This window comes from Homo sapiens, chromosome 9 (genome assembly GCF_000001405.40).
Source record: "Homo sapiens chromosome 9, GRCh38.p14 Primary Assembly".
NCBI lineage: Eukaryota > Metazoa > Chordata > Mammalia > Primates > Hominidae > Homo > Homo sapiens.
The window spans coordinates 24,764,980-24,777,534 of NC_000009.12; the positions used below are offsets into that span (position 1 = coordinate 24,764,980).

The 12,555-nt window shown below is 37.4% G+C and overlaps 1 annotated feature.

The window, feature by feature from the left end:
• Nucleotides 9,045-9,546: an enhancer, noted in NCBI's record as "NANOG hESC enhancer chr9:24774022-24774523 (GRCh37/hg19 assembly coordinates)". NCBI's record gives its function as "activates a minimal SCP1, AML or CMV promoter by ChIP-STARR-seq in primed H9 embryonic stem cells {active_cell/tissue: H9 hESC(primed)}" and the evidence as "EXISTENCE:reporter gene assay evidence [ECO:0000049][PMID:30033119]".

Sequence of the window (12,555 nt, forward strand, 5' to 3'; positions counted from 1 at the left end):
GCTGAAGATGTGCCTACAACCACCCCTTCCCCCAGGTGCTCTGTCCCAGGGAGATGAGGCTTTTATATATAAGCCTCTGGCTGGAGCTGCTACCTTTTTTTTCAGAGATGCTCTTCCCAAAGAGGAGTAATCTAGAGAGGCAGACTGGCCACAGAGGCCTTGCTGAGTTGCGGTGGGCCCTGCCCAGTTTGAACTTCCTGGTGGCTTTGTTTACACTGTGAGGGTAAAACTGCCTACTCAATCCTCAGCAGTGGCAGATGCCTCTCCCCCCACCAAGCTCTAGCATCCCAGGTCGACCTCAGACTGCTGTGCTAGCAGTGAGAATTTCAAGCCAGTGGATCTTAGCTTGCTGGGCTCTGTGAGGAAGGAAACTGCTGAGCCAGACCACTTGACTTCCTGGCTTCAGCCCCCTGTCCAGGGGAGTGAACAGTTCTTTCTCGCTGGTGTTCCAGGTGCCATTGGGGTATGAAAAGAAAACAAAACTCCGGCAGCTAGCTTTGTGTCTGCCCAAATGGCTGCCCTGTTTTGTGCTTGAAACCCAGGGCCCTGGTGGCATAGGCACCGGAGGGAATGTCCTGGTCTGCCGGTTGTGAAGCCTGTGGGAGATGCACAGTATCTGAGCCAGAGTGCACCATTCCTCCCGGTACAGTCTCTCATGGCTTCCCTTGGCTGGGGGAGGGAGATCCCCCAACCCCTTGTGCTTCCTGGGTGAGGTGACACCCCACCCTGCTTTGGCTCACCCTCTGTTGGTTGCACCCACTGTCCAACTAGTCCCAATGAGATGAACCAGGTACCTCAGTTGGAAATCCAGAAATCACCTGCCTTCTGTGTCAGTCTCTCTGTGAGATGCAGACCAGAGATGTTCCTATTCAGCCATCTTGCCAGCCCCCTATTCTGTCAGTTCCCTTTCAATTGAACACTTGCTTTGCCTGTTAACTTGTTTCTTCCACAAAATACTTCAGCTCTGAAGGCAAACCTTCTGAACAATGTCATCAAATGAAAATGTCTCTTTTATTTGACAAAAATAACCATTGCTAAAAATTTTCAAATCAATTTTTTATCCAGTTTATAGTTCAGTAGTCACATGTGATATGTCTGCTATCAATCCATATATGTATTATATATGTATCTCTCTATTTTTTTTGTAGCACAAAGTCAATTCTGGCATGTTACTAAAATATTGAAATTTGAAAACATAGAAGTTTGATTTCAATATACCATGCAAAATGTATAAGAAAGCATGACTATACTAATAGAAAGCCTGACTGTGGTTCCCAGGCTACCCTCAGATACACTGAGGATGGCCTTTGCCCTATGCTCCTATCCAAGCTGAGAGTGTAGGTTTCTGACCTCAGTTTCAGAACTAGTTTTTCAAATGGCATTGAATTCATTGTGAACTTCATGTAGAGCCATGATGCTGAACCATGTTATACAATATTCTGAATTAATATCCTAATGAACGAAATAATTTTTAGTCCATTGATTGTTTATAAAGCTGATCATTACATGAAATGGTGTGAGATGAGATGTAGCAAACTACATCCCAAGGGTGAAATCTAGCCTTGTTTTTTTTAAAGATAAAGTTTTATTGGAACACATCTATGCTCATTTTCTTGTAGCTGCTTTCATTCTATAATGGAAGTTTCAGTGGTTGTAACAAAGACCATCTGGCCCCCAAAAGTTAAAAATATTTAGTATCTTTCCTTTCATAGAAAAACTTGCTAACTCATGGTATAAAACGTATATTTTGGGCCCAGTAAAACTCTTAAGTTGCATTGCTGGCTTTGATCTCTAGTGGATAAATCATGGAAACTGGGAGTCATATAGTTCCATATTTAGATCCAGGACCTGCTGTTTAGAATTTGTGAGATCTTTATTAAGTTATTTGACATCTATGATCTTCTATTTCCTCCTGCGGAAAATGGGCTAATGAAACTTACGTCACAAAGATTTTGTGAGGATTATATAAATCATGTTAACGCAGTGTTTAGCATATGCAATAACTTATAGTTTTCCATAGTATTATGCAATTTAATGACAATGAATATCTTTAGGGTACTGATAACATGAGGATGAATAGAGCTTGGGGATGAGCTCAGAATTAGGTGGTTAAGTTAGTTACCAAAAATGAGTGTGGATGGAGACAAAACAGAGCTGCTGGCCTATTGACATCATGATCAGGCCTCAGTATCTCTGTAAAGGGCTGACCTCAGCTTAGAGGGCTGCTCACCCATTCTATGTTTCTACGCTGTCTTTAGTTGAATTAATCACAAAGAAATGATCTTACCTCTTTCTATTTCACTATCAAACGCAGAGAAATTGATAATGTATAACATTCTAATACAATGAGGGCTTATATTTTCTTCTCTCTGAAAGACTGAATTGCAAATGCTTATTGTCATTTCAGTGTCTAGAATAGTGGGGGTATGAGGAATATTCAGTTTCTTGTTCAGATACATAATCGATCTGATATCTTTGCTATATACACCAATCAGTGGAAAAGCAGAGACTTCTTGGTGTTGTATGGGTCTCCTACTAAAAACAACAATGGTATCAATTTTTTCTTCCTTGCCTAGTTATAATGTACAAAAGTTGTACAATCTTTACAGTCTCACTGTCTGATTCTGATGACAAAAGTATGTTTTGGTAATGGTTAACTTCATTGATTGCTCTTTAGACATCACCATTTGATATTGCAATCAATAGCACAGCAATTCTTATATATCATAACGAGGCTCTGTTGGTTGATCCTGTAATAGAAGAACATTGATTTATAATAATAGTGCCAAAATACATTAACAGTTACACATTAGCTTAGTAAATGTATTAATTTATGTCACCTGTAATGGATGTATGTGGAATAAAATTACTATAAATATGGATGCTGGTATTAAAATTTACCATTTTTTTTTTGTTTGTGGGTTATTTGTGTCTGTTTTCACCATCTTTTATTTTTCTAGACTCAAGGACAACCAGAACGTTTTCAGAACCTCACAATAATCATGAGTACCAGATGCCTAGTGCTGATCAACATGGCCACTGTTGCCTTTGCCATTTATAACTGGAGAGTATGATGAATATGCAGGTCCATTTGCACTGAGCTATGAATCTGCTTGAGTCTTCACATGATGCAAAGAAGCATCTGTTTGCCTTAGTTGCCCAAACAAAATCCAAAAATGATAGGTGAAATAATCCAAAGGCTGCTGGATTTTGCTTTTCTAAAATTTACTAGTGTTGCATGTTAAGGATGTTTAATAGTAATTGCTTGTGAGGGAAATTATAAAAGAAAACCAAAAACAGTGAAAAAAAATTTATTATGTAAATAAATTTGTTCAGTTGATAATGATTTTTTTTCCTGTTTCTACATAAGGCAGTGGTTTCTTATACAAGGTTTACATGTAGCTATTTATTTAACTTCTTAAGGAAATTTTTTGCATCTTTATATAGGCCATAGTGTCTTTGTGATGATTAAAACAAATAGTCCTTAAACTGTTCTTTTCAGAAATAAACATTTTAATCTTCTCTTTCAAATAAATATCCCAACTCTCCTGTATTCTCTCTTTTTCTGTCTCTCACACACACCTAGAATTTTTTTTGTATGTAATATGAAGACATATAGAATTTAAGTTATGATTGTCTTAGTCTATGTTGCTGTAAAAGAATACCTTCAGTTGGGTAATTTCTTTGGCTCACAGTCTTGTAGGCTGTATACAAAGCATGATGCTGGGACCCACTTCAGGTGAAAGCCTCAGGAAGCTTCCACTCATGACAGAAGGAGAAAGGAGCTGGTGTGTGCAGATCACACGGTGAGAGAGAAGCAAGAGGGAAAACAAAGGTGCTGGGCTCTTTTTAACAATCAGGTTTCCTGGGAACTATTAGAATGAGAACTCCCTGATTACTGCCAGCACAGAACGAAATAGTTCATGAAAGATCCAATGTCAGGACCCAAACACCCTCCACTATGCCCACCTCCAACACTCGGGTTCACATGTCAACATGAGATTTGAAGAGAATGAACATCCAAATTATCTCAATCATTTTTTGGGAATCTCAATCACAGACTTTAAATACTGAAAGGACTATTAATTTTAAGAAGAATTAAACTTTGTCATATGGCCTTTAATGAACAGTACTAGGTTAAAACTACAGGGAGAAAAATTCTGAATTCATAAATCGCTGATACCTGTATGTTAAAAATATCTTATGTTGGATTAAATTCTCTTAGTGAGATTGTGCATTGTAAGTGGTTGCAGATGTTAAAGAATAAATGCATAACCACTTGGAAAGCATTTCAATGAGACTAGAGTAGACCTGGGTGCCTTTTGATATTCATTTCAGCTTTGAAATTTTATGACATCTATAATATAAATTTACATGCACGATGTACTTATAAAGGTAGTATACATGTGTAATGAGGTGACTATGGATAACCAAGGTTTATCTAATTTTGTGACATGTTCAGTGATGGACCCTACTTAATTATTTCCTTGTTAGAAATAAATGATGGAGTCTTACTTTAAAATGAAGTTTCCACTGAAAGAAATTATCAATACTATTCTGAATTATCCTTGAAAGAAGTTAATCCCAGGCAGGAAAAAACAAAAAGAAGTAACTGTAGGAACACATATTTTCCTTCTTCTCTATTGCCTGAAGAATTAAGCCTGGAATCTGTAAAATGAATAAACTTTAAATGGTTCTGGGTTTAGGAATGAGCCGTTCCTGAAAGTTTTACCTAGAAATATGGCCAAGTACAACTATATGTAATAGGATCTTCTATCTGAAGATGGGGAGAGGATGGGTCAAAAAATTTTTCCAGAGACAATAATGTCTAAACTTTTGTTTAAGTGATTTAAAGATGGTGTATGTGAAGAGAATTCAAGGAAGAAGGATAACATGAATACATAGAGATTAAAATATAGTTTTCTTCTTCGGGAATAATGGGACATAGACTAGAGAGAGAAACTAGAGTCAGGTAATAAATGTCTACAATATGTAAGCTATGTTAAGAGTTTGCATTTTATCAAAGAGAAATAGCCTTTTTAGGATTCCAAGCAGGGAAGTGAAATAATCAGATAGACATTTAAAAAGCTCCCTCAGGCTACATTTTAGGGAATGGATTAGAAAAGGGCAAAACTAGAAATAGGAAGACCACTTAGAAGGCTGTGTTAGTAATCTGTGTGGGCAATGCAAGACCTCTTTGTCACCAATTTTCCAATAATGTTCATTCCAAATTCCTGAATATCCAGCCTAACCTTAACCACCAGCCATAAATCATTGTAGATCTGTGCCTTTGGTAATTTCTCCTTTTAGATAAAAATGAACAGCTAGGTACTCTCTTCAAAGTTCTGCCTTTTGGGAGCATTTTCTTTATTATACTCCTGGGCTACCCCAGACTGAGGCTGTTGTGCTGCACGTGCCCAGGATTCCGACATATTAAGCAGTTTTATCTATAAACCTGAGCCAAAAATACATCTTTTTTAATCAACTAGATGTAAGAAGCTCTCCATGAGGCCATAGGTAGAAGTTGAGAGAAAAGAGGCCATATAGAGGGGGTAGGTGCCATGGAAATCTGATCCATTGACTCCTGTAATTTATTTGTGCCTTCAGGGCTAGTTTGAGCCTGATGTCTAATATTCTAACATATTAGAATACTCATCTGCATGCCCAAATTTATGCCTTGTTGTTGGCTGGTTGGGAGTTGGGGGGATGTTCAGATAACACCCAAGCCTTAGTGAAGAGTTCAGGTCACATTATAGTTTGTGGCTTGCAGTCAAACATTCCAGTTCTACTAGTGTGCAGTAGTAAGCCAGAAGCAGTTTCTCAAAAGAACAGTATTTTCTACAGAGAATGAGACAGTTTTTCTTCAATTCCTAAATTTCTGTGGCTTACCTACAGAGGATTGCAAAAGACTCCACATAGTATTTCAACCTACCATAAACATTTGAAGAACTATGAAATCTTCTGGCCATGTGGTAGAACAAGTTGTATGGCAGCATGGACTTGCTTCAGAGCTGTCTCTTGTTTTGGGCTCCATTCAAAGCTGGAAGCCTTTCAAGTTACTGGGTGGGTCAAAAGAGCATAACCAAATGAGATACTACGTGTCTCCATGATTTAATGAAGCCAATATATATTCTGCATTTTTTCACAATAGTAGGATGGTACAAATGCATCAACTTGCCCTTCATGCTGAAAAGAATATTTCAACATACCCAACCACTTTATCCCTAGAAATTTCTCTATAAGATAAGTGCCACCATTTGGCCATGCCACTCTGGGATCCCATCATCCCCATTGAACTCAGGGAGCCCATTCTGAATATAGCAGTCTTACTGTTAATCCTGCCTACAGAGAAAGCCACTGCAGCCTTGGCAAAGATGCCACACTCCTCTCATCAATATGTCTCTCAAGCTTTGAGTGATATGAGTTAGAAAGTTAGTGAGCAAGTCTTACATACCAAATCTAGCATTCAGACCTCATTACCTCTTTAAATATCCATATCCCAAAGTCATATACCTCAGTCTTATTTAGTGTAGGCCACCTTTGGGCCCAGCTTTCTGCCAGCAACTGACAAAATGCTCAGAACCATTTCCAGACACACAAGCTAACTTAAATTTGTTGGAATACTGAATTTCGAAAACTTTGTTTACAGCATTGAAATAAGTAAATTCAATATGATCTAAAAACTGTTTCTTTCACCTTGATCCAATATTGTTAGGAGCCAGTTTTCTAATACAAATTGGAAAAATTTCATTAGACTTTTCATGTACTTGATACTTCCTCCTATATTACTTCCTCTTTGGAACTCAACCTCTGTAATCTGCCAGGACTTGAGTCTATCTGTAGGTGTTTAAGTCATGAGTAGTGTTGGGGTTAGGTCCTAACATGTATCATCATTTTCGTGAAAAGTATTATCTTGTGAAGGCCATTACAATTTCATTAGTCAAAAGGAGCCCAGATTCTTTCATGAAAGGAGAATGGACTGTTCCTGCTGGCAAAGAAATTTGGCCGAATTTAGGGGTTCAATACGTTGTTCACTTGAAATCTGCCCATATATATCCTTCCTGAATTTCAGGTTCTCATTTGTTTTCACTCGATACTTTAATATAATAGACACTGTGGAGTTGCAAATTCAATTTGTATTATAATTCAACCTTGTCACGATTTGTCTTTGACCTTGGTTTCTAGATATATCTTCCCTGATAATACAGAAAATAGACGATTTTTTAGATAAGTCGTAAAGCTAATTGTTTTTCTACTAAAAACTTGAGCTCAGAATTCCAGTAGCTGAAGTCATCATTTTCTTTCTCCAAGTCCTTCAGTGCTATCAGAAACAACCAACCTCTTAATACTCATTGTTTCCAATATAAAGTTTGATAGTGGCAACTACATGGTCACTACAGTGTTGCCCTTGATATATATTTGATTGAAATTGACTACAGGTAACACTTAAGTAATTGTTTTGCCATCTTAAGTAATTGTTTTGCCATCGCATGCCATTGGCTACCGATGTTCCTATTTCTACAGGCAATGGAGTCATTAATGTCTTTAAATCTAATCAGAACAAGGAATAAATCTCCCATTTCTATACTCAGAGTTTTATTGCCCTGGAATGACTTCCAATGACCATATAAGACCCTGTGCAATTAGGGAAAGAACTATTATGAATATAAAGGAATGAGGGATTTATTAAACGAGACATTATGCAATTGTGAAAAAATTGAAGGAGTAAGAAAAGATGAGTTGGAAAATCAGAAAAAAATGTTACTAACCAACCTTTATGAAGCAGGGTGTGTCAAGCTGCCAGTGTGTCCACAAAGTAGAGCTAGTGGAGAAGTCTATGAAAGTTATTGACCTGTGTTTGGGTGGGAAGTGGATACTGGGAATGTAGTTCCATCTTAGCCAAGTTGATATAGTACCATGGATAGTGGTGAGGTAGTAGACTGGAAAGATAACTTGAAGTCAAATCATACATGATAAAATACCTATCTTAGCTCAGTCTGCTATAACATCATACCATAGACTGTGCCACTTAAAAGACATTTATTTCTCAAAGTTTTGGAGACTGGGAAGTCAAGATGAAGGTTTTGACAGATTTGATTCCTGGTAAGGGCACTCCTCTTGGCTTTCACATAGTAACTTGTTGCTGTGTCCTCACATAAAAGAGAGACACAGTTCTGCTGTCTTTTCCTCTAATTTTATTATGAAGACTCCAATCTTACCACCTTATCTAAACCTAATTGCCTCCTAAAAGCTCTACCACCTAATACCGTAAAAATGGGGAGTCAGGATTCAACATATGAATTGGGGGATGGACACAAACATTCAGTTTATAACAGTATGTAAATTCTATTAGGGAGTTCAGACGCTACCCAAGGAAAATACAGTGAGATAATTACATTTGCATTTTTAAAACCTCACACAGGTTATATTTTATAGATAGGGTTAATAATGGGCATGATTAGAGATAGACCTTTTAATTTTGAGATAATTAAATTGAGAAATGCAGGGGATGTATATTGGATAATGGTTGTGAAGAGAGAAAAATTGTACCAATTTTGGAGATATTAGGGAGGTCAACTCAACATCACTTTGCTATAGTTTCTAGCTGAAGAAATTGAGAGTTGTTTTTTAATTAAAATTTATGTTACATGAGTGAGAGCTATGTTGTCCCACTAAAGGAAAATCTATGTGTTTTTCTGGACATTGTGGTTGAAGTTCTTACAGGGCATCTGCATTTAGATGATGAGTGTGTAGTTGCATATTTAGATCTGAAAATCTAGGGAGAAAATAATTTTGTCACTCAATTTTCATAGCGCCTATGCTTGAAACACAGAAACAAGCAATAGGGTTTTAAAATTTGTTGCATATTGAATTGCTTATTTGAGCCCTAACTTAAATTACATCAAAATGTCCCTAAAGAAGAGGCAGTATACTTATACTGGGAATTACTGGGGGAACCAGCCCCCAGTATTTCAACATAGGTTCTTTTCTATTTTCCCTAAGTGTTGGCCCATCTGAGAAAAAAAAAGAAAGAGTAAAAAGAGAGAAATTTTACAGCTGGTCCTCCGGGGGTGACATCACATGTTGGCAGGTTCTATGATGCCCCCTGATCCACAAAACCAGCAAGTTTGTATTAGGGATTTCAAAAGGGGAGGGGGGTACGAACAGGGAGTAAATCACAGAGATCACGTTTCAAGGGGCAATAAAAGATTACAAGGGCAGAAGGGCAGAGCGAGATCACAAGGCCAGGGCAAAATTAGAATTACTGATGAGGTTCCATGTCCCACTGGGCACGTATTGTCTTGATAAACATCTTAACAGGAAACAGGGTTCGAGAGCAGAAAACCGGTCTGACTACAATTCACCAGGCTGGAATTTCCTAGTCCTAGCAAGCCTGAGGGTGCTGCAGGAGACCAGGGCATGTTTCATCCCTTATCTTTGACTGCATGAGACAGACACTCCCAGAGCGGCCATTTTAGAGACCTCCCCACTGGGAATGCATTCCTTTCCCAGTGCTATTCCTTGCTGAGAAAATAATTCAGCGTTATTTCTCCTATTCGCTTTCTGTAAGAGAAATATGACTCTGTTCTGCCTGGCCCCGCAGGCAGTCAGACCTTATGGTTATCTCCCTTGTTCCCTGAAAATCACTATTATCCTGTTCTTTTCAAGGTGCCCAGATTTCAAATTGTTCAAACACACATGCTTTACAAACAATTTGTGCATATAACACAATCATCACAGGGTTCTGAGGCAACATACATCCTCAGCTTACGGAGATTACGGAATTAAGAGACTAAAGACAGGCATAGGAAATTATAAGAGTATTGATTCGGGAAGTGATAAATGTCCATGAAATCTTCACAATGTATGTTCAGAGACTGCAGTAAAGACAGGCATAAGAAATTATAAAAGTATTAATTTGGGGAACTGATAAATGTCCATGAAATCTTCACAATTTATGTTCTTCTGCCATGGCTTCAGCCAGTCCCTCTGTTCGGGGTCCCTGACTTCCCACAACAGGGAATATTGGCAAATATTGCTATATAGGCATGGTGGCCATCTGGAAATACAAATTTCAAATTTCTTTTTCTTTTTTTATTGGAGAAGGAGTTTTGCTTTTGTCACCAAGGCTGGAGTGCAGTGGTGTGATCTCGGCTCATTACAACCTCTGCCTCCCAGGTTCAAGCGATTCTCATACCTCACCCTCTGGGGTAGCTGGGATTACAGGAGCGTGTCACCATGCCCAGCTAATTTTGTATTTTTAGTAGAGATGGGGTTTAACCATGTTGGCCAGGCTGGTCTAGAACTACTGACCTCAGGTTATCCACCTTCCTCGGCCTCTCAAGGTGCTAGGATTATAGGCATGAGCCACCGAGTCCAGCTGACAAAATTAATTTTTGATGATAAGATTTAATCTAACATTTCTTCAGCACAGAAGATGTTCCAGAATTTACCAGATGTAATATAGTTTTTCTTTATGTTGATCCTGTTAGACAGTGGATTACTCAGTATTAGCTAGCTTATTTTGCAGAAACAACCTTCTAGTCTCCATATCTTAAAACAATAAATGTTTCACTCTCAAACTTTTAGTCATGGTAAGCCTATGGAATAGCCATCATCCAAATGTTGACAGTTGTTGAGTAAGGGTAAAAGAAAGCTGACAAGGCACTCACTAGATGTCAAACTTTATTCTTGGAAGTAGCACGTGCCACTTATGCTCCCACTGTATTGACTAAAGGAAGTCATGTGGCCTCAGGTAACTTCAAATTGGGCTGAGGAGCATATTCCTACCATGTGACTAGGAGGAGATGGGCCAGAAATAATTGGGAAGCATTTCTACTAACCATCATAATTTCATATGTGAATAAAACCTGAGGCTAACAAATATTAATATATAGTCTTCCAAAATCTAATAAAATTTAATGAAGACAAGACTTAAACTCACTTCTTTAAGTTGCCCTGCCAAAGTCCCCACAGAGGTACATTGGCAGTTTAGAATCTCAGGTTCCTCATGTGTCAAAGGAACTTTAAGCTATCCCTTCCAATTTAAGAATCTGTAATTTGGCCATTCTTTCTGTATAGCCTAAACTTCCATAAAACTAGGACAACAATATATATCGGCCATTTAGTTTCAACTCTAGCCCCAGTATAGAGGAAAATTTTATGATCGTCTTTTTTAGGAAGATTTGAAGAAGAGAGAATACCCATTTCTGCACTGTCAGTACAATATCAGATGATTTCAAGGATGTGAAGTCCACTACACAATTAGGTTAAGGTCCTCCTTTTATTGTACATAGGAAACAAAGACTGTTCTACATTTAAAAATGAGAGTCTGAACTTTTTAAAAGAATTACAGGTTTTTCTTTAAATGCTGAACATTTGTTTATATAGTTCATATTTAGAAACACAATACCAAGTACTCATTATGGAATATTATTTTTTGGCATGCTAGTAACTATCTGTTCCCTTGGGAAATCAGGTCTTACATAATGTGAAGAAATAAATTGAGCTGAACATCAGGATTCTAAAAATAAAAACAAAATAACCACCAACATATGTGTTTTGGTTCTTGGTGCCTACTTTCACTCCCAAAGGAGACTTTAGCAGTATCTAATATTCCTAAAATTGAATAATTTTATGCACAATTTAGGATGAATCTGCTTGTATGATCTTATTTTGAATGCCTTGGTGATTTGACTGGCCTGCACTTTGGCTCAGTGGTTAGTGGATATTATATATATATATATACTTATCTCCATTAAATGAAGGTTCAAACTATCATTTGCAACCTCACTTGATGTTTGCACTAATAGAAATATTCCCAGTTAAATTAGTAGAAGTTATTTTATAAAATATTTATCTTTTAGAGACAGGGTCATAAGTGTATTACTTCTTTGGGAAGATAGTTTACCACCATTCTAATGGAGGCAGTGTTAAACATAATGCTGGGAATGGGTCTCTTTGGGAAAGTACACAGATTTTTCCATTTCTTTGTTACTCCCAAGTGGCCTCAAGTTGAAAACTTTAGTAGAGTCTTCAGTTGGTATCATATTATTTCTGGAATATCACTGTGGTTCAGTAGTATTCTTAACTACTCATGGAATAAAGGGTCAGAAACAATATGAGCCTTCTCTATCTTGGACCAGATAAGCATTTGTAACCACCCCAGGCATAATTCTCTTAAATGTAGTAGGAGAGAAAAAAAAATGTTGGCTGTCAGGTGACAGCCAAAAGGACCTCTTCTCAAATCAACCCAAGAAGACTGAAACATTATGGAAGATTTATTAAAAAGAGGATGATTTAAAGAGTAAGTAGGAATGAGAATGAACTGAATAAAAATCTTTGCTAGTGTTAATATAAATTTAATTTTGTCTCCATAGTGGTGAGATATGGAAAATACAGGTTACATAATAAAAAAGACATACACATTACAAACTCACTCTTTATATGTTACAGAAAGAGTGTTTGAAAAAAATTTTTCTTAACAATACAAAGGTAATAAAATTTTAAAAAATCTAAAAATAATGTTTGAAATTGCTGAACTAGTTCTGGGAA